Source organism: Homo sapiens, chromosome 1 (assembly GCF_000001405.40).
Source record: "Homo sapiens chromosome 1, GRCh38.p14 Primary Assembly".
Taxonomy (NCBI): Eukaryota; Metazoa; Chordata; class Mammalia; order Primates; family Hominidae; genus Homo; species Homo sapiens.
Window position 1 is genome coordinate 58,487,677 of NC_000001.11, and position 20,271 is coordinate 58,507,947.

General features: G+C 36.8%; 2 protein-coding genes across 2 annotated transcripts in view; both read right to left on the bottom strand.

Annotated features, from left to right (window-relative positions):
* The window catches only part of DAB1 (DAB adaptor protein 1), a 1,551,949-nt gene that overhangs the window by 1,492,899 nt on the left and 38,779 nt on the right, over positions 1–20,271 (bottom strand). Inside the window, exon 3 of the mRNA NM_001379461.1 lies at positions 18,384–18,533. The gene's annotated coding sequence lies outside the window, so the exon portion shown is untranslated. The remainder of the gene's footprint in view (positions 1–18,383; positions 18,534–20,271) is intronic.
* The window catches only part of OMA1 (OMA1 zinc metallopeptidase), a 66,008-nt gene that overhangs the window by 6,958 nt on the left and 38,779 nt on the right, over positions 1–20,271 (bottom strand). Inside the window, exon 8 of the mRNA NM_145243.5 lies at positions 18,384–18,533. Coding sequence (NP_660286.1) covers positions 18,384–18,533 — 150 coding nt within the window. The remainder of the gene's footprint in view (positions 1–18,383; positions 18,534–20,271) is intronic.

Here is a 20,271-nt window from a genome sequence, read left to right on the forward strand (position 1 = left end):
TTCTTTCTAAAGTAATTTAGTAATTTGTAATTTGTAAATTAGTAATTTGAGAAGCTTCATTCTAGCTATAATTTCTACTCCTAGCTGCATCCACTCTAGCAATTCCCCTCCCCCCTCAACACACATATACTTTAATTACTTCTGATTTTGACCTGAGCTATTAATTAACATTATCTAACTAAAAATAACATTCTCCCAAATATTTCAGTTTTCTTGCATGTTACCGTACCTCTTCTCCTGATCCTATTTACATTTTACTTTGTCTAACTAATCTAATGATTATGACTTTGACTAAATTTCCCAAAGAATCAACTACTGTCATTTTGCTTATTTCTGCTTAATTTTATTAATTATATTTTCCCTATTTGAGACATTTATAGTTCTATATTTCTTTTCTCTTTTTCTAATATAGACATTTAAACTGATAAAGTTTTCTTTAAATACAGATTTAGTAAAAACTCATGAAAATATAACTACATCATTATAAAGTTCATTGATTACAAGCCATCCTCTTATTGTTTATAGATTTCTCTTTTGCTTTACATGTGCGGAATTTTAATTTTCATGTGGTTATCCATCTTTTAATTTTTGTTATATTAATTTTACTATACTATGTTCTGATGATTGGAACCATAACTTTGTTTTATTTATTTATTTATTATTTCAATAGGTTTTTGGGGAACAGGCAGTGTTCAGTTACGTGAAAAAGTTCTTAAATGGTGACTTCTGAGATTCTGGTACACCCATCACTCAAGCAGTGTACACTGTACCCAATGTGTAGTCTTTTTTTTTGAGACAGAGTTTCACTCTTGTAGCTCACACTGGAGTGCAATGGCGCGATCTCAGATCACTGCAACCTCTGCCTCCCAGGTTCAAGCAATTCTCCTGTGTCAGCCTCCTGAGTAGCTGGGATTACAGGCATGAGCCACCATGTCTCGCTAATTTTTGTATTTTTAGTAGAGACAGGGTTTCTCCATGTTGGTCAGGCTGGTCTTGAACTCCCGACCTCAGGTATCTCCTGCCTCGGCCTCCAAAAGTGCTGGGATTACAGGCGTGAGCCACCACGCCCAGCCCCAGTGTGTAGTCTTTTACCCTCACCCACTTCTCACTGTTTCCCCTGAGCCCCCAAAGTCCACTGTATACGTCTTATGCCTTTGCATCCTCATAGCTTAGCTCCCACTTATCAGTGAGAACATAACATTTTTATATTATGTACAGATATTTTTGTCCAAGTTTTATGATCAATATTTTCATGAAAGATGTGTACTTGAAAATATATTCCTGCTGGAGCCAAGATGGCCAAATAGGAACAGCTCCAGTCTACAGCTCCCAGCGTCAGCGACGCAGAAGACGAACGATTTCTCCATTTCCAACTGAGGTACTGGGTGCATCTCACTGGGGATTGTTGGCCAGTGGGTGCAGGACAGTCGGTGCAGCGCACCGAGCGTGAGCCGAAGTAGGGCAAGGCATCGTGTCACCCGGGAAGTGCAACGGGTCAGGGAATTCCCTTTCCTAGCCAAGGAAAGGGGTAACAGACGGCACCTGGAAAATTGGGTCACTCCCACCCTAATACTGCAATTTTCCGACGGTCTTAGCAAACGGCACACCAGGAGATTATATCCCACGCCTGGCTCAAAGGGTCCTACGCCCACAGAGCCTCGCTCATTACTAGCACAGCAGTCTGAGATCAAACTGCAAGGTGGCAGCGAGGCTGGGGGAGGGGTGCCTGCCATTGCCGAGGCTTGAGTAGGTAAACAAAGCAGCTGGGAAGCTCGAACTGGGTGGAGCCCACTGCAGCTCAAGGAGGCCTGCCTGCCTGTGTAGACTCCACCTCTGGGGGCAGGGCATAGCCAAACAAAAGGCAGCAGAAACCTCTGCAGACTTAAATGTCCCTGTCTGACAGCTTAGAAGAGAGTAGTGGTTCTCCCAGCATGCAGCTTGAGATCTGAGAACAGACAGACTGCCTCCTCAAGTGGGTCCCTGACCCCTGAGTAGCCTAACTGGGAGGCACCCCCCAGTAGGGGCAGACTGACACCTCACAGGGCCGGGTACTCCTCTGAGACAAAACTTCCAGAGGAATGATGAGGCAGCAACATTGGCTGTTCACCAATATCCGCTGTTCTGCAGCCTCCGCTGCTGATATCCAGGCAAACAGGGTCTGGAGTGGTCCTCCAGCAAACTCCAACAGACCTGCAGCTGAGGGTCCTGACTGTTAGAAGGAAAACTAACAAACAGAAAGGACATCCACACCAAAACCCCATCTGTACGTCACCATCATCAAAGACCAAAGGTAGATAAAACCATAAAGATGGGGAAAAAACAGAGCAGAAAAACTGAAAATTCTAAAAATCAGAGTGCCTCTCCTCCTCCAAAGGAACACAGCTCGTCACCAGCAACAGAACAAAGCTGGACGCAGAATGACTTTGACGAGTTGAGAGAAGAATGCTTCAGACGATCAAACTACTCTGAGCTAAAGGAGGAAGTTCGAACCCATGGCAAAGAAGTTAAAAATCTTGAAAAAAGATTAGACGAATGACTAACTAGAATAACCAATGCAGAGAAGTCCTTAAAGGACCTGATGGAGCTGAAAACCATGGCACAAGAACTACGTGACGAATGCACAAGCCTCAGTAGCCGATTCGATCAACTGGAAGAAAAGGTATCAGTGATGGAAGATGAAATTAATGAAATGAAGCAAGAAGAGAAGGTTAGAGAAAAAAGAATAAAAAGAAATGAACAAAGCCTCCAAGAAATATGGGACTATGTGAAAAGACCAAATCTACATCTGATTGGTGTACCTGAAAGTGACAGGGAGAATGGAACCAAGTTGGAAAACACTCTGCAGGATATTATCCAAGAGAACTTCCCCAATCTAGCAAGGCAGGCCAACATTCAAATTCAGGAAATACAGAGAATGCCACAAAGATACTCCTCGAGAAGAGCAACTCCAAGACACATAATTGTCAGATTCACCAAAGTTGAAATGAAGGAAAAAATGTTAAGGGCAGCTAGAGAGAAAGGTCGGGTTACCCACAAAGGGAAGCCCATCAGACTAACAGCGGATCTCTCAGCAGAAACTCTACAAGCCAGAAGAGAGTGGGGGCCAATAGTCAACATTCTTTTTTTTTTTTTTTTTTTTTTTTTTTTTTGAGACGGACTCTCGCTCTCGCCCAGGCTGGAGTGCAGTGGCGCGATCTCGGCTCACAGCAAGCTCTGCCTCCTGGGTTCACACCATTCTCCTGCCTCAGCCTTCCGAGTAGCTGGGACTACAGGCACCCGCTACCAAGCCCGGCTAAATTTTTTTGTATTTTTAGTAGAGACGGGGTTTCACCATGTTAGCCAGGATGGTCTCAATCTCCTGACCTCGTGATCCACCCACCACAGCCTCCCAAAGTGCTGAGATTACAGGCGTGAACCACTGCACCCGGCCCTTCAACATACTTAAAGAAAAGAATTTTCAACCCAGAATTTCATATCCAGCCAAACTAAGCTTCATAAGTGAAGGAGAAATAAAATACTTTACAGACAAGCAAATGCTCAGAGATTTTGTCACCACCAGGCCTGCCCTACAAGAGCTCCTGAAGGAAGCACTAAACATGGAAAGGAACAACCGGTACCAGCCGCAGCAAAAACATGCCAAATTGTAAAGACCATCAAGGCTAGGAAGAAACTGCATCAACTCACGAGCAAAATAACCAGCTAACATCATAATGACAGGATCAAATTCACACATAACAATATTAACCTTAAATGTAAATGGGCTAAATGTTCCAATCAAAAGACACAGACTGGCAAATTGGATAAAGAGTCAAGACCCATCAGTGTGCTGTATTCAGGAAACCCATCTCACGTGCAGAGACACACATAGGTTCAAAATAAAAGGATGGAGGAAGATCTACCAAGCAAATGGAAAACAAAAAAAGGCAGGGGTTGCAATCCTAGTCTCTGATAAAACAGACTTTAAACCAACAAAGATCAAAAGAGACAAAGAAGGCCACTACATAATGGTAAAGGGATCCATTCAACAAGAAGAGCTAACTATCCTAAATATATATGCACCCAATACAGGAGCACCCAGATTCATAAAGCAAGTCCTTAGAGACCTACAAAGTGACTTAGACTCCCACACAATAATAATGGGAGACTTTAACACCCCACTGTTAACATTAGACAGATCAATGAGACAAAAAGTTAACAAGGATATCCAGGAATTGAACTCAGCTCTGCACCAAGTGGACCTAATAGACATCTACAGAACTCTCCACCCCAAATCAACAGAATATACATTCTTTTCAGCACCACACCACACCTATTCCAAAATTGACCACATAGTTGGAAGTAAAGCACTCCTCAGCAAATTAAAAGAACAGAAAGTATAACAAACTGTCTCTCAGACCACAGTGCAATCAAACTAGAACTCAGGATTAAGAAACCCACTCAAAACCACTCAACCACATGGCAACTGAACAACATGCTCCTGAATGACTACTGGGTACATAACGAAATGAAGGCAGAAATAAAGATGTTCTTTGAAACCAACGAGAACAAAGACACAACATACCAGAATCTCTGAGACACATTCAAAGCAGTGTGTAGAGGGAAATTTATAGCACTAAATGCTCACAAAAGAAAGCAGGAAAGATCTAAAATTGACACCCTAACATCACAATTAAAAGAACTAGAGAAGCAAGAGCAAACACATTCAAAAGCTAGCAGAAGGCAAGAAAATAACTAAGATCAGAGCAGAACTGAAGGAAATAGAGACACAAAAAACCCTTCAAAAAATCAATGAATCCAGGAGTTGGTTTTTTGAAAAGATCAACAAAATTGATAGACCACTAGCAAGACTAATAAACAGGAAAAGAGAGAAGAATCAAATAGACACAATAAAAAATGATAAAGGGGATATCACCACCGATCCCACAGAAATACAAACTACCATCAGAGAATACTATAAACACCTCTACACAAATAAACTAGAAAATCTGGAAGAAATGGATAAATTCCTGGACACATACAGTCTCCCAAGACTAAACCAGGAAGAAGTTGAATCTCTGAAGAGACCAATAACAGGATCTGAAATTGGGGCAATAATTAATAGCTTACCAACCAAAAAAAGTCCAGGACCAGATGGATTCACAGCCGAATTCTACCAGAGGTACAAGAAGGAGCTGGTACCATTCCTTCTGAAACTATTCCAATCAACAGAAAAAGAGAGAATCCTCCCTAACTCATTTTATGAGGCCAGCATCATCCTGATACCAAAGCCTGGCAGAGACACAACAAAAAAAGAGAATTTTAGACCAATATCCCTGATGAACATCAATGCAAAAATCCTCAATAAAATACTGGCAAACCAAATCCAGCAGCACATCGAAAAGCTTATCCACCATGATCAAGTGGGCTTCATCCCTGGGATGCAAGGCTGGTTCAACATACGCAAATCAATAAACGTAATCCAGCATATAAACAGAACCAACGAGAAAAACCACATGATTATCTCAATAGATGCAGAAAAGGCCTTTGACAAAATTCAACAGCCCTTCATGCTAAAAACTCTCAATAAATTAGGTATTGATGGGACGTATCTCAAAATAGTAAGAGCTATTTATGACAAACTCACAGCCAATATCATACTGAATGGGCAAAAATTGGAAGCATTCCCTTTGAAAACTGGCACAAGACAGGGATGCCCTCTCTCACCACTCCTATTCAACATAGTGTTGGAAGTTCTGGCCAGGGCAATCAGGCAAGAGAAAGAAATAAAGGGTATTCAATTAGGAAAAGAGCAAGTCAAATTGTCCCTGTTTGCAGATGACATGATTGTATATCTAGAAAACCCCATCGTCTCAGCCCAAAATCTCCTTAAGCTGATAAGCAACTTCAGCAAAGTCTCAGGATACAAAATCAATGTGCAAAAATCACAAGCATTCTTATACACCAATAACAGACAAACAGAGAGCCAAATCATGAGTGAACTCCCATTCACAATTGCTTCAAAGAGAATAAAATAGCTAGGAATCCAACTTACAAGGGATGTGAAGGACCTCTTCAAGGAGAACTACAAACCACTGCTCAAGGAAATAAAAGAGGATACAAACAAATGGAAGAACATTCCATGCTCATGGGTAGGAAGAATCAATATGGTGAAAATGGCCATACTGCCCAAGGTAATTTATAGATTCAATGCCATCCCCATCAAGCTACCAATGACTTTCTTCACAGAATTGGAAAAAACTACTTTAAAGTTCATATGGTACCAAAAAAGAGCCCTCATTGCCAAGTCAATCCTAAGCAAAAAGAACAAAGCTGGAGGCATCATGCTACCTGACTTCAAACTATACTACAAGGCTACAGTAACCAAAACAGCATGGTACTGGTACCAAAACAGAGATATAGACCATTGGAACAGAACAGAGCCCTCAGAAATAATGCCACATGTCTACAACTATCTGATCTTTGACAAACCTGACAAAAATAAGAAATGGGGAAAGGATTCCCTCTTTAATAAATGGTGCTGGGAAAACTGGCTAGCCATATGGAGAAAGCTGAAACTGGATCCCTTCCTTACACCTTATACTAAAATTAATTCAAGATGGATTAAAGACTTAAATGTTAGACCTAAAACCATAAAAACCCTAGAAGAAAACCTAGGCAATACCATTCAGGACATAGGCATGGGCAAGGACTTCATGTCTAAAACACCAAAAGCAATGGCAACAAAAGCCAAAATTGATAAATGGGATCTAATTAAACTAAAGAGCTTCTGCACAGCAAAAGAAACTACCATCAGAGTGAACAGGCAACCTACAGAATGGGAGAAAATTTTTGCAATCTACTCAACTGACAAAGGGCTAATATCCAGAATCTACAATGAACTCAAACAAATTTACAAGAAAAAAACAAACAACCCCATCAAAAAGTGGGTGAAGGATATGAACAGACACTTCTCAAAAGAAGACATTTATGCAGCCAAAAGACACATGAAAAAATGCTCATCATCACTGGCCATCAGAGAAATGCAAATCAAAACCACAATGAGATACCATCTCACACCAGTTAGAATGGCGATCATTAAAAAGTCAGGAAACTACAGGTGCTGGAGAGGATGTGGAGAAATAGGAACACCTTTACACTGTTGGTGGGACTGTAAACTAGTTCAAACATTGTGGAAGTCAGTGTGGCGATTCCTCAGGGATCTAGAACTAGAAATACCATTTGACCCAGCCATCGCATTACTGGGTATATACCTAAAGGATTATAAATCATGCTGCTATAAAGACACATGCACACGTATGTTTATTGCAGCACTATTCACAATAGCAAAGACTTGGAACCAACCCAAACGTCCAACAATGATAGACTGGATTAAGAAAATGTGGCACATATACAGCATGGAATACTATGCAGCCATAAAAAAGGATGAGTTCATGTCCTTTGTAGGGACATGGATAAAGCTGGAAACCATCATTCTCAGCAAACTATTGCAAGGACAAAAAACTAAACACTGCAGGTTCTCACTCATAGGTGGGAACAGAACAATGAGAACACATGGACACAGGAAGGGGAACATCACACACAGGGGTCTGTTGTGGGGTGGGAGGAGGAGGGAGGGATAGCATTAGGAGATATACCTAATGTTAAATGACGAGTTAATGGGTGCAGCACACCAACATGGCACATGTATATATATGTAACACACCTGCATGTTGTGCACATGTACCCTAAAACTTAAAGTATAATAATAATAATAATACATTCCTTTTTTTAGGATTTAGTTTCTCATGCCACTTAAATTTTATTTTTCATATTATTCAGCTGAATTTTTTGGTAGTTCCTTACTTGATCTGTGGTTTTCTAACAATGGCAGGGTGCAAGCTAGTTACAATTATATTTAAACAAACAAAACTGTATATTTTATCTAATTCCTGATTGTCAGTAGATTCTGGAAAGAGCACTGTTGCAACCAAGAACTTCACTGACATATTGTCCTATGTGTTTCATTTGCTAAGGATCTTCCACCATAAAAAAAAAAAAAGTTAGTTTTTGTAGATATCATACCAAAGTGTATTAGTTCCACTGTTTTTTGTTTTGTTTCTTTCCTCCAAAACTCTTACACTTCCTCCAACAGCAAGAAGTATAAGAACTTAGGAGGAAAGAAATATCTTCCTTATGCTTATGAAAAGAAAGGTCCAGAGTCATTCTTACTCTTGTATGCCTTTTTACCTAGGTAGCTTGTAAAAGCCTGTCTTTGCAATGAAGATTAAACACTTCATAAGTTTAAATATCTAAGCTTGTCATTTCAGGGCTTCCCATGGATGATACTCTGGGAATCTCCTAAAAACCCATCTTGAGAAATGTTAACTAAATAAAAAAATATGATATAGAAACCACAATCAAAGAAATGAAGACATGTACAAATGTATCTTTCCCATTGTTATATGCAGCTTGGATTTCCTGGTGCCTTTTCAATATTCTTTCATTTTTTTAGACTTTTTTTTTTTGGCTTTGGGCATTTTAATTTGGTTGTGCTATGTTCCTCTATCTTCCGCATCAATGAGTCTTTGCTCTGAGGTATCAATTCTGCTCTTTACAGCCTCCACCGAAAGTTTTACAGCTTCTCTGTTGAATTCACAAGTTTAACAATTTTCTGAAATGGATTTATCTTACATTTGTAAAGTCGTTCTTTCAGATTCTGTCACTTTCAGTGCAGTTAAATCAACCTTATCATGCCAGCTTCAGGTGGCACTGCTTCTATGTTCTTGCCGCCTTGCCTGTCCTCTCCCATAAAGTAACATTTTTAAGTTTGACTTGAGATTTGGTTTTGTTTTTCGTATTTCTGCTCTTTAAAGCTTATCTCACTGGGGAACAATGAGCATTTCAGAGGCTTTGTTTTGTTGCTATTGCTGAATTTTGTTTACATGAGGGTCCTTGTGGAGTTATTAAAGGCACTTAGACATTCAATAATCTTTTAAATAAGATTATCCTCATTTTTCCTTTCAACTCTGTTTTTCCAACTCTTGTACACTTACCGTTCTGATTTTTTAAAAGTCTCTCTTACCTACCTCTTAAGTCTATTCCTGAATAAGATAAAAGTGTCTGCAACATCTTTTATTCCATTAGGGTTAATTTGGCTGGTCTGAGTTCTAAATAGATTCTACATAGATTTCTCGTGAAGACACATTTCTCAGGTTGTTTGAAAACTGATTATTTGCAGGGTGGTGCTAAATTATCACCCCACAATCACTTGCTGGCCACAAGGAAGAAAACCACCTTTGCAAACAAAGAACCAGGCCATCACCATCCAACCCACTGATGGCCTTCAGCATCACCAGATGTGGGGCAGCCAGGTATTAAGAGACTTCCAATGCAAAGCACTATGAAGCTTAGTTGCATCACCTATAAAATATCCTTCCCAAAATTTAATCTCTATTTACAGGTATATATAGAAACAAGTTAGAAATACCACGAAGAAGCAATCAAGTTAATCCAGAATCTACAATGTGGGATTATATGTACTCACCAATTCAATGACAAGTTTTAAAACAAACAAAACAAAAGGGAGGGGGGTACTGTCCTAAAGTCAAAAGGACTTTAGGGACGTAAGGACCAAATGCAATGTGTGGATCATGAAGTATCCTAATTTAAACAGGCCAACTGTAACACTGCTGAGATACAGAAATCTGATGTAGACAGAATATTTAATTTTAAGGAATTACTATGAGTTTCCTTAGGCATGATAATGTTATGATTATGGAAGAAAATGATACTACTTTCTGAAATGCATACTAAAGTTGATGGAGTTCAGGACATATCATTCCAAAATAAGACTCCAGGAGACCAGACTATGCCACCCCAAATATGCCTCTTTAGCATAAGAGTTATTTTCTACTAATTATTTTGGGCAATAGCAGACATAGGGGAAGTTCTGAAAACAGGAAGAAGAAGTTACCGTTTTCTCAGAGAAATATGTATCTACGAAGGAAATCTCTAATTTGCAAGTATGTCTCCCTCTCTGTACCAGAAAGAGAAGGATGACTCTAAATCACTGGAAACTCTTATCAACAAAGAAGGTACAATCTACATAACAAACCTTACCCTTGCTCACTGCTTTTCCTGACCACCTCTCTACAACGTGGCGGCTTTCCCTGCACCTTTCTGTCTTAGTTTCAGTTGAAGATGGTATTTACACCTGAACTCAAAGCCACCTCTTGGAGAATTATTCATTCCATGGGTATCTCCCAGGTATACAGGAAGTATACATGTTAAAAAGCTTCCATTTCCCTCTTGTTAATCTGTCTTTTAATACAGGGGTTCATCTCAACTAAGAACTATGAAGCATAGAGAGAAAATTATTTTCTCCTCCCCTATAAGGCCCTGATATCTGGGCTTTATATCAAAATACTTCTGAGAAAAACAGAGATGGGACAGATGAAGCAAGTGTATAAAAGGATTATACTGTTCAATATCAGTGGGTGAAAAATAGGGGCTCATTAAGCTATTCAAATTATTCTCTATCTTGACATGTATTTTAAACATTTATAATAATGGTAAAACTAAAAGTTAAAAAAAAAAAACAACTTTTTCCATTGTCTTCCATTCTCCTCTACCATTTTTGCATTCCTATAACTTCACCCTTGATTTTACAACTGTTTTTAGTTCTAAATGGCTCATGAGAGGTTTAAATTTTAAATATTTCTCCTGGAAAATGAAACTAGTCCCTTTACTACCACCTCTATTTCCAACTCTCTCCCTTAATTTCTAAAAGCAAGCATATACTTTTAAGAAGGCCTAAGGAGTTAGGTGTCAATGGCCCTAATCCAAAGACTCACTATGCAATAGATTTAACAGAAATTAGAGAGAATAGTGGGTAACTACTTTAAAAGACAGAAAAGAAATACAACAAGGATAATGCCTATATGGCTACTTATTAACAGAACAAAAACTCTATAAAGGAAATCTCTAAGACATTTCAGCATTCCTTCTTGCCTATATAACTATGTTTCTTGAATTCTCTTTTGAACTAGTTGTAACATATTACAGTTTCCCTCATTAATGAGTTAAATAAAATCTCAGAGATGTGTTCATTTTATATTTGAATGATTCATGATTTCATCTTTTAAAAAAATTATTCTTTAATTCATTTCATTTCCTTTCACAAACACTGCAATGGAAATTGGATTCTGACTAGTTTTTGAAGTGTTCTAAAGTAAATAAGTATAAATAACTGACGTAAATAATTTAAAGTAAATACAAAAAATTAAAAATTAAGGCCACCTTGACATAGGACAATTATCCTCTGGAATGATAAAATAATTAGAAAAGGTTTTCAAACAAACCTATAAAAACATTTTATAATCAACCATTCCTAAAATATGAACATGATAAAATCCTACCATTTGTAACAGTATGGATAAATCTGGAGGACATTATGCTAAGTGAAATAAGCCAGGTACAGAAAGAAAAATACTATACAGTCTCACTTATATATGGAATCTAAAAAAGTCCAACTCAGAGAAATTGTGAGTAGAATAATGATTACCACAGGCTGGGGATCGGGGAGTAGGAATCAGGAGGTGTTGGTCAAAAAGTATGAAGTTTTGCCAGCCAGGGCAACACAGCAAGACCACATCTCTACAAAAAAAAAAAAAAAAAAAAAAAGGCCAGGCATTGTGGTACATTCCTATAGTCCTAGCTACTCTGGAGGCTGAAGTGGGAAAATTGCTTTAGCCCAGGACTTCAAAGCTGCAGTGAACTATGATTCCACCACTGCACTCCAGCCTAGGGAACAAAGCCAGACTATAGATAGATAGATAGATAGATAGATAGATAAATAGATAGATAGATAGATATTAAAAAGTATAAACTTTCAGTCAGGAAAAGTAGCTTCTGGAGATCTACTACACAGCATTGTTACTACAGTTAATAAAAATGTACTGTATATTTGAAAATTGCTAAGAGAATAGATTTTAAACATTCTTGCCACAAAAAGTAAGTATGTGAGGTGATTAATATCTTAGTTGGTTTGATTTAACCATTACACAATGTATACAGATATTGAAACATCATGCTGGACTCCATAAATATATAAAAAATTTTAAAAATTAGTTAAAGTAAATAAAAAATAAACACTTGTATTGAAAAAAAAACTGGCTATATTTATTCCCAGTAACAACTAAAGTATTTATGAAACAACTGCTAATACACATCAGTATTCTGACAGGTATTACATATCAAGTAAAACATCAACTACTTATTCACAAAAAGTAAAAGTAAGTTTAAAAAAAGAAGAAAAAAATGGACAAAAATTAATGCCAGAGAGTCTTCACGACTGGATTAAAAGCTTCCTTTGAAAACAGAAAGCAAGACATTTCAAGAGGGAAAAAAATCACCTCTATTTTTAGCATGTTTTTCTAAAATATCATTACTTTCCCCTTTCCCCTCAAAAGCAATTTTTTCTAATAGCCCATTCATTTCAGCCTCAAGTAGATACACATCACATGCACCATAATATTTTTTTTAAGGGTTTAGACAATGTTACTGTCAGGCTTCCTGGCTTTATATGATTCAGAAGCCAATTCAATTACAGCAGCTGCTATGATATTTGCCTTTTCCTCAACACTCTCTATGTCAGACAAAATGAAATTCTGTAAGGTGAACAGTGTATGTTTGTGTACACTGGCCAACAACGACATTTCACTTCAATGTTAAACACTCATGTTTTCTGCTCATGAGATGTATAATATTAATGATTTATTCATTTACTTTGTCCAATTATAAACGTGTAAGAATGATTTACACGAGTTCAAACCCCTAGCTTCCTGAAAGTATAAAGGATTCAAAATAAAATGAGATTAATATGAATGCAGCCACCAAGTGATTCTGATATCTAAAAATTGAATGAAGTGAATTTGATAAAGATTTTTTTAAGTTTCTGAATAAAGCCAGTATTGAAAGCTCTAAAAACATTTAAAAATATATCCTATTCAAATTATGACTATAAACATAACCATAAACAATGAGTAAGTTCAAATTAAATATTTTTCCTATACATTCTATCATTCTCCATACCCTTCACCCAACAAAGAGGGGATGGTGGAGAGAAACAGGGTTGGTAAGTGAAGTGGAGAATAAGAAATTCAGTCTAAATGTTTTCAGTTTTAAAATAAATCTTTGAAGCAGATTTCTCTTATTCACATCTATTCATATTTTATAACAATCTTCATAGAAAAAAGTTAAATAAGGTGTCTCTTTCAACGACAAATTATAATATACATAAAGTCTGAACAGTGTAACTATAATTTTAAAACTGTCATACTATTAAACATCAACAAATTGATACAACATCTGCTCTTCATTTTTTCACCCAAGTTGTTATGATAACCAAAATATGTGGAATATGTGTTTAACTGATTATTTCAAGTAAATAGAATTATAACATATCAGCTTATTAACTACAAGTAATATTGCTACAAACCTGTATTTATCCTTTTTAAATGCTAATGGATCACAAGATTATATTTAGGCAATTTATACATGTTTTATCTTGAAATTCACATTTAAAAAAGCAAAGGTTTGCTTTTTTTTCTAATGTGATGGGTTATCTTGACTTAAAGCAAGAAAGGAACTCATCTATTTTCTGAACAATATATTATGCTAAAATGATCCAAAATTATATTATGGTACTGTTTTGCAGGAGCTGTAGATCACATCATTTTCAAACATAAGTGACCTTGTCACTCCTCCAGTCCTCTGCTCAAATCCCTCCACTATTGTCCCATCTCTGTGAACAAAAGCCAAAGTCCTTACAGGGGCGATAAGGCCCACGCCCTCCCCCTTCCCTTGCTCACCCCATTCCACCCACACTGGTTTTCTTCTTGTTGCTCCTGCCCCACAGCCTTGTACTCTTCCCCAAGACAGCCACAAGCCTGGTTCCTTCACTTATTTCAAATCTGTGTTCAAGTGTCAGCTTCTCAATGAAACCTTCTTTGACTGCTGAAGGACCCCATTTTACACTGCTATTCCTGCACCCCTCCCATCTCTGCTCACACATAACTGTGTGCTAAGGACTCATGTGTTCCTCTAAAATTCATATTTTGAAGTCCCAACCTCCAGTGTAACTGTATTTGGAAATAAGGCCTAAAAGGAGGTAACTAAGGTTTAATGAGGTCTGAAGGGTGGGGCCCTGATCGAATAGGATTAGTAGCTTTATAAAAAGAGACATAAGAGAGCTGCCTCTCCCTCCTCACTGCCCCCCACTCCCGCCCCCAGCACCAAATTTATTATCTGTCTCCCTTTACTGCAGAATAAGCTTCATGAGGACAGGGATTTTTGTCTATTTATTTCACATCACCTACAACCTGGCATATAACAGATGACTGATAAATACTTGTTGAATGCATAAAGTGTAAATTTAAAACATTTTAAAAGTTGATAAGCTACAGTAAGAAACAATACATTTTTGTGATGATATGCAAGGGATCCAATAAGAAATAAAAATATACAATCTTCAATAAGCTAAAGTTTAAAAATCAAAATGATCAAAATTTGTGTTCTAATCACAGACCCACAGAATCCTGCTTTCTTGGTTTCCTATTTGCTTTCTTGATTTCCTATGAATCTGATCCAACACAGGCTCTGTCTTCCTCCCACCCATTAAATGTGGAAAATATGCAATACTGTTACTTTGATCTTTTTCTCTAATCACTTCCTACGTGAACTCATCCATTCTCATTGCTTCAACTATCACTTCTTTTTAGATGACTCTGAAACTCTGAAATCTTCATCTCTGGCCTGGATTTGTCTGTGCTCTCTAGTGCTGTATTCTCAACTGCCTTTGAGGGGAACATAACTTCACCATACTGCTAGAGATGTCAAAGGACAGGAACCTTAGGTAGAACATAACATACTCACTAGAGCATGCTACATAAAATATAATTTCAAAATGTAGTAGTAGTATACAGACTCACATAATTCTATATACTGCCTGAGAAACTGCCTTCTTTCATTATATGTCAGAAATTAGACTACAATAATAGGGAATTCCAATCTTTGAGTTATGACTGTATATTCTAATTAACAATATACCCTTGTACTATCAGTTTCACTTCAACCACTGAGTTATTCCCAATATTGCAATAGAGTTTTATTACTTTCAAATTGAATTTAATCACTTGGGGTGGGGAATATAAGAAATTATATGAGGTTTTCAAATTAAGTTTCTGAACTAGGATAGTTTATTTTTAGAAGAAAAATGTCTCACGTCTTTGTCTTCATCATTTGCTCCCAAATAAAATTTGTTTCTCTAGCCATTTTTCTTCCTACTCACTAATCAATTCATTATTATTTTAAAGACATCTCTAAAGCACAGTTTTTACCTCTCCGAAGATGCTCAGTAATTTGATGATGAAATGACAACTCAGAATTTAGGAGTCTTCACATGAAAAGTTGGCTAACAGAATTTATTATCCAATTAAACAAACCACATATTTTTAGAATTTCATTGAGCGAAAATAAAAAGAAAAAAAATTCAAGAGAAAATCATATTGTTATCATTGCTTTAGAGACAGGCCCAGGCCTCCCAGGGTGCGATAAAGTCCCAGGGGCCTTGGATAGCACAAAGGACCCTCTTATAGTCAGTGATCCTCAGTACAAGTCAGTTACTGAAGAAATACATAATGTCCCATGCCTATACTACCCTTTTAAGAGGAATAATTACTACATATTATATCAGGTAAATTTCACTGCTATTTCTTTCTCAAATTTTTTTTTCAAATTAAGAATACAAATGAAATCTAGTTAAGATAGCTGCTGATATAGAGTGAATGTCTGTGTCCTGTCAAAATTTATATGTTGAAATTCCAACTCCCAATGTGATGGTATCAGGAGGTAAGCGCCTTTGGGAGGCGATTGTCATAAGGGTGGAGCCCTCATGAATGGGTTAGCACCCTTTTATAAAAGAGGCTTTTGAGAGCTCCCTTGCCCCTTCTACCATGTGAGGTTACAAGGAGAAGATGGCTGTTTATGAGCTGGGAAGTGGGCCCTCACCAGACACCAAATCTGTTGGAAATTGGATCTAAGATTTCACAGCCTTCCAAACTGTGAGAAGTAAGTTTCTGTTGTTTATAAGCCACCCAGTCTATGGTATTTTTATTATTGCAACCTGAACAAACTAAAATAGGTGTTAAGAAGCCATGCTTGGCTGTCCTCAATGCTCACAAAAGGCACGAAGTATGCCTAAATTACCAACAAATCCTGTCATCACTCCTTTCAAAATATATCCAGAATCTGACTGATTCTTTCCCCATTTTCTGCTACCAGATATCTTGGTCCAAGCCACCATCATCTCCTACCAGGATTATGAGAGTCTCCTAAAAAGTCTCCCTGACTCCACCGTTGCCCCACTAGTCTACTCCACACAATAATGCCAGTGATCACAATAAAACATGAGTCAAATCAAGTCACTCCTCTGCTCAATATCCTCAACTAGCTTCTCCTATCACTTGAAGTGAAAGTCAAGTCCTTACAATGGCTTAGAAGATCCTGCGTGGTCTGGTCCCCTTTCACCTCATCTTGAACTGTTCTTCCCTTCCCTTACTCCATTCAGCCCCAATGTCTTCCTTGCTATTCCTTGAACACATCAAACATACGCTGACTTTAGGTTCTCTGCATCAGCTGCTTCCTCAGCCTAAAAGGCTCTCTCTCCCTCCACACAGCTAAAGGACTTGCTCCCGTGCTTCCTTCCGGATTCTGATTAGTGAGGCCTTCCTTGACAACCGAACATAGACTAGTACCCCTTCTCTGCTGCCCACCCCTCTCTAATACCTTTAATCTGCTTTATTTTTTCCCAAGGTACTTATTATTGCTTGGCATACTATATGTTTGTTTCTTATTTGCATTACCTAACTAGAATGTTAACTCCAAGAAAACAGACTGTTTTGTTCCTTGCTCATTCCCCAGCAATAGAACACAGAATAGTAGATTAATCAATAAGTATCAATAAATATCGATCTACCTAATGAATGAATAAATCTTGCACTAGAGTTTCTTATCCCAAACTAGAAGCAGATTCATCTTCCTTCAAACTGCATACCGTTTTTATTTTTCTTATGATAAATCATATCCTTGTACTAATAATCATTTTTTATTTATCTTAGCATCCTGTAAATATCAAGAACCATATCTTATTCCTCTTTGTATCCCCCACATCTAGCATCATTTCTTTCTTTTAAGAGGTACTCCGTATTTGTTGGGCTGAATTTGAAGTCATACTGAAAGATACTTCTTTTTTTTTTTTGAGACAGAGTCTCACCCTGTCGCTGACTAGAGTGCAGTGGCACGATCTCGGCTCACTACAACTTCTGCCTCCAGGGTTCAAGCGATTCCCCTGCCTCAATCTCCCGAGTAGCTGGGATTACAGGCGCATGCCACCACGCCCGCCTAATTTTGTATTTTCAGTAGAGACAGGGTTTCACCCCGTTGGCCAGGCTGGTCTCGAACTCCTGACCTCAGGTGATCCACCCACCTCAGCCTCCCAAAATGCTGGGATAACAGGCATGAGAAAGATACTTCTATAATACACCTGGATCTGTTGTGCTATGCCTTAGCACATGGCCCAGTACCAATTCTTAAATTGCTAAAAAATGTTCCGCTTTCATAACAAGCCACCAAATTTAATACAAGTGAGATAGAAGAGAGCGTGTAACGTGGCTCAGAGATGCCTAACATCCATTTTGTCCTGATATGGAAACCATAAAAACATTCTGAATGATGTCAACAAATCAAAAGATTTTCAGAGGATACTGAAAACTACTTGGCAGAAAGCCGCCTCAGCTTGACCCACTTATGAATTCTACAGAAAGAAAAGCCAGAGAGCAAATGCTTCACTCTTATCTTCATAAAGAAATAAATAACCAGAAACAAACATGAAGATTTTTTTTCCTAAAAAAACAAATTCCAGTACCACTACTACAATTAATATCCACTTGACCCAAAACTTCTGTACAACTCATTAACTGGTATTTTTAACAAAAAGCTTAAATCACCAAGGAAAGATTAAATTATCATCAACATGTTTAAAAAACTTAATATGCCTTGAGTTTTAAACTTTCATCAAGTCAGTTAAAATTAAAGTCTCATACTAAAGGAGTTAAACCTTCACTATTAAGAAAAGTCAACTGTACATAGTAATTTATTCTCCAAGACTTGTGGACAAGCAGAATTTTGCTTTTCAGTCAAATTCTGTGACAACTGATAATCCATAATTATAGTAATCAAAATAGTTAATAGGCTAGAACTCTCTTTTACTAAGCAAAAGAAGTGACAGCATTAAAAATAAATGATACAGTAAAAATAATGTCCCGCCTTCTACGGTGTCAGCTCACCTGAGGTATAAGTCTATCCAAGTACTCAACTCGATTGCCATGAGAAGGGTGTGTAGATAACCATTCTGGCATCTTGGGTTGGCCATGCAGGCTATCAACGAACTCCATTTGCTGCCAAAACACTGAACTGGCTCTTATGTCTGCACAAGCCTAAAACCAAAATTAGTAAAACCACACAATGAGCTCAGTTTTGAGGATTTTTTAAAAACTACTACTTTATTTTTTTTTAATTCTATTATAATTATACTTTAAGTTTTAGGGTACATGTGCACAACGTGCAGGTTTGTTACATACGTATACATGTGCCATGTTGGTGTGCTGTACCCATTAACTCGTCATTTAGCATTAGTTATATCTCCTAACAACTTTATGTCACTACATGCTTTAAAGTCATTTTCTATCATCACTTTAATAAAAGTAGAACATGCCCATTGCTTAGAAAAAGACCCACCTCAAACAACATGGTATCACAGTACTGAAATAACAGAATGCCTGCCCTTCCCATATACAACATTCACAATAACCCTGCTAACCAAAGATAGCCCACTATTTTCAGTATGATGGATATTAAGAACATGTATTAAGGGTAAAATCTTTTACACAAATTAAAAATTCTGTTTTCATAAAGTTTTAAAATATAATGTTATTAAACTGTATTAAAGAAACTTTACTTCTATGCCACTAGAACAATCAGAAAAAAACTTCAAATAAACATAAAGAGATGACATGTTTATTATGCACATCAATTTACCCAATTTTCTCAATGTATATGGACAATATATTTAATTCATATACCTTATAAAACACAATACCTTATAAAAGTACAATATAAAAGTACATTAGTACTTTTTAAAAGAATATATGTAGATCTTGTGTATGTACAATTCCATCATACACTCATATACATACTCATACGTATATACTTGTATATGCACAGAACATATCTGAGAAGCTATTTAAGAAGCTGTTAACTACCCTAAGAATGTACCTGAGGTATCTGATAGTGGAGAGGGAGCAACACTTTTATTTCTGAACTATATTAAAATACATTATTTTATAATTAAAATTATTTTTAAATCCTCCATAAGGTGGATTATTAACAAATATTTTATTAATTTGTTCAATTTATTCACATTTCTTAACTTATTCTTTCTATAATAAGTAACTGGAAAACAAGTGGTTATATTTCCCAATGATTTTATTTTTGATTAAAACTAAGAAAAAATATATATACTATACTGACTAAAATGTACTCTCAAAAAGATTTATAATAGTGTAATTGTGAAACCCCAAAAGGCAAATATATTAATAGAACACTGCATGCTAGTCAACAACCATGCTACATCATTTCTTAACAAATACCATTAAAGCATTTCCAAATGTTAGCAAAATAAAAAATTTTAAATTCAAGTAAATCTTATTCAATATTTAAAGAAATATAATTCCTTAAGACCTCTGAGTATTCTAAGTTGAAAAGAATTCAAGGTACTTTATACACTACTGCACAGATATGGATATACATGTTTATATGTATATAAACAGGAATATACAAGATAAATGTATATAACAAACATAAATATTATTCATGTTTATACACATATAAATACATATCTATATATGCAAGATGTGTGTGTGCTTATGTGTAAAATATGTATGTAACATATGTATCTATAAAGAAATAATTATTTGATGCTGAATTAGAAACACCCAGAGGACTATGCCCCTCAATAATAGGTAATCACATTCACAATAAAAATACAGGCTGAGATTAACAAGTATTCTTCTCAAATAATTCATAAAAATATAAAATGACTTGAAAGAATTCTAACACAAACAAAAAACCCCTCTGAAAACTGGAAGATAAACATTTGAATGGACTACAAATTCA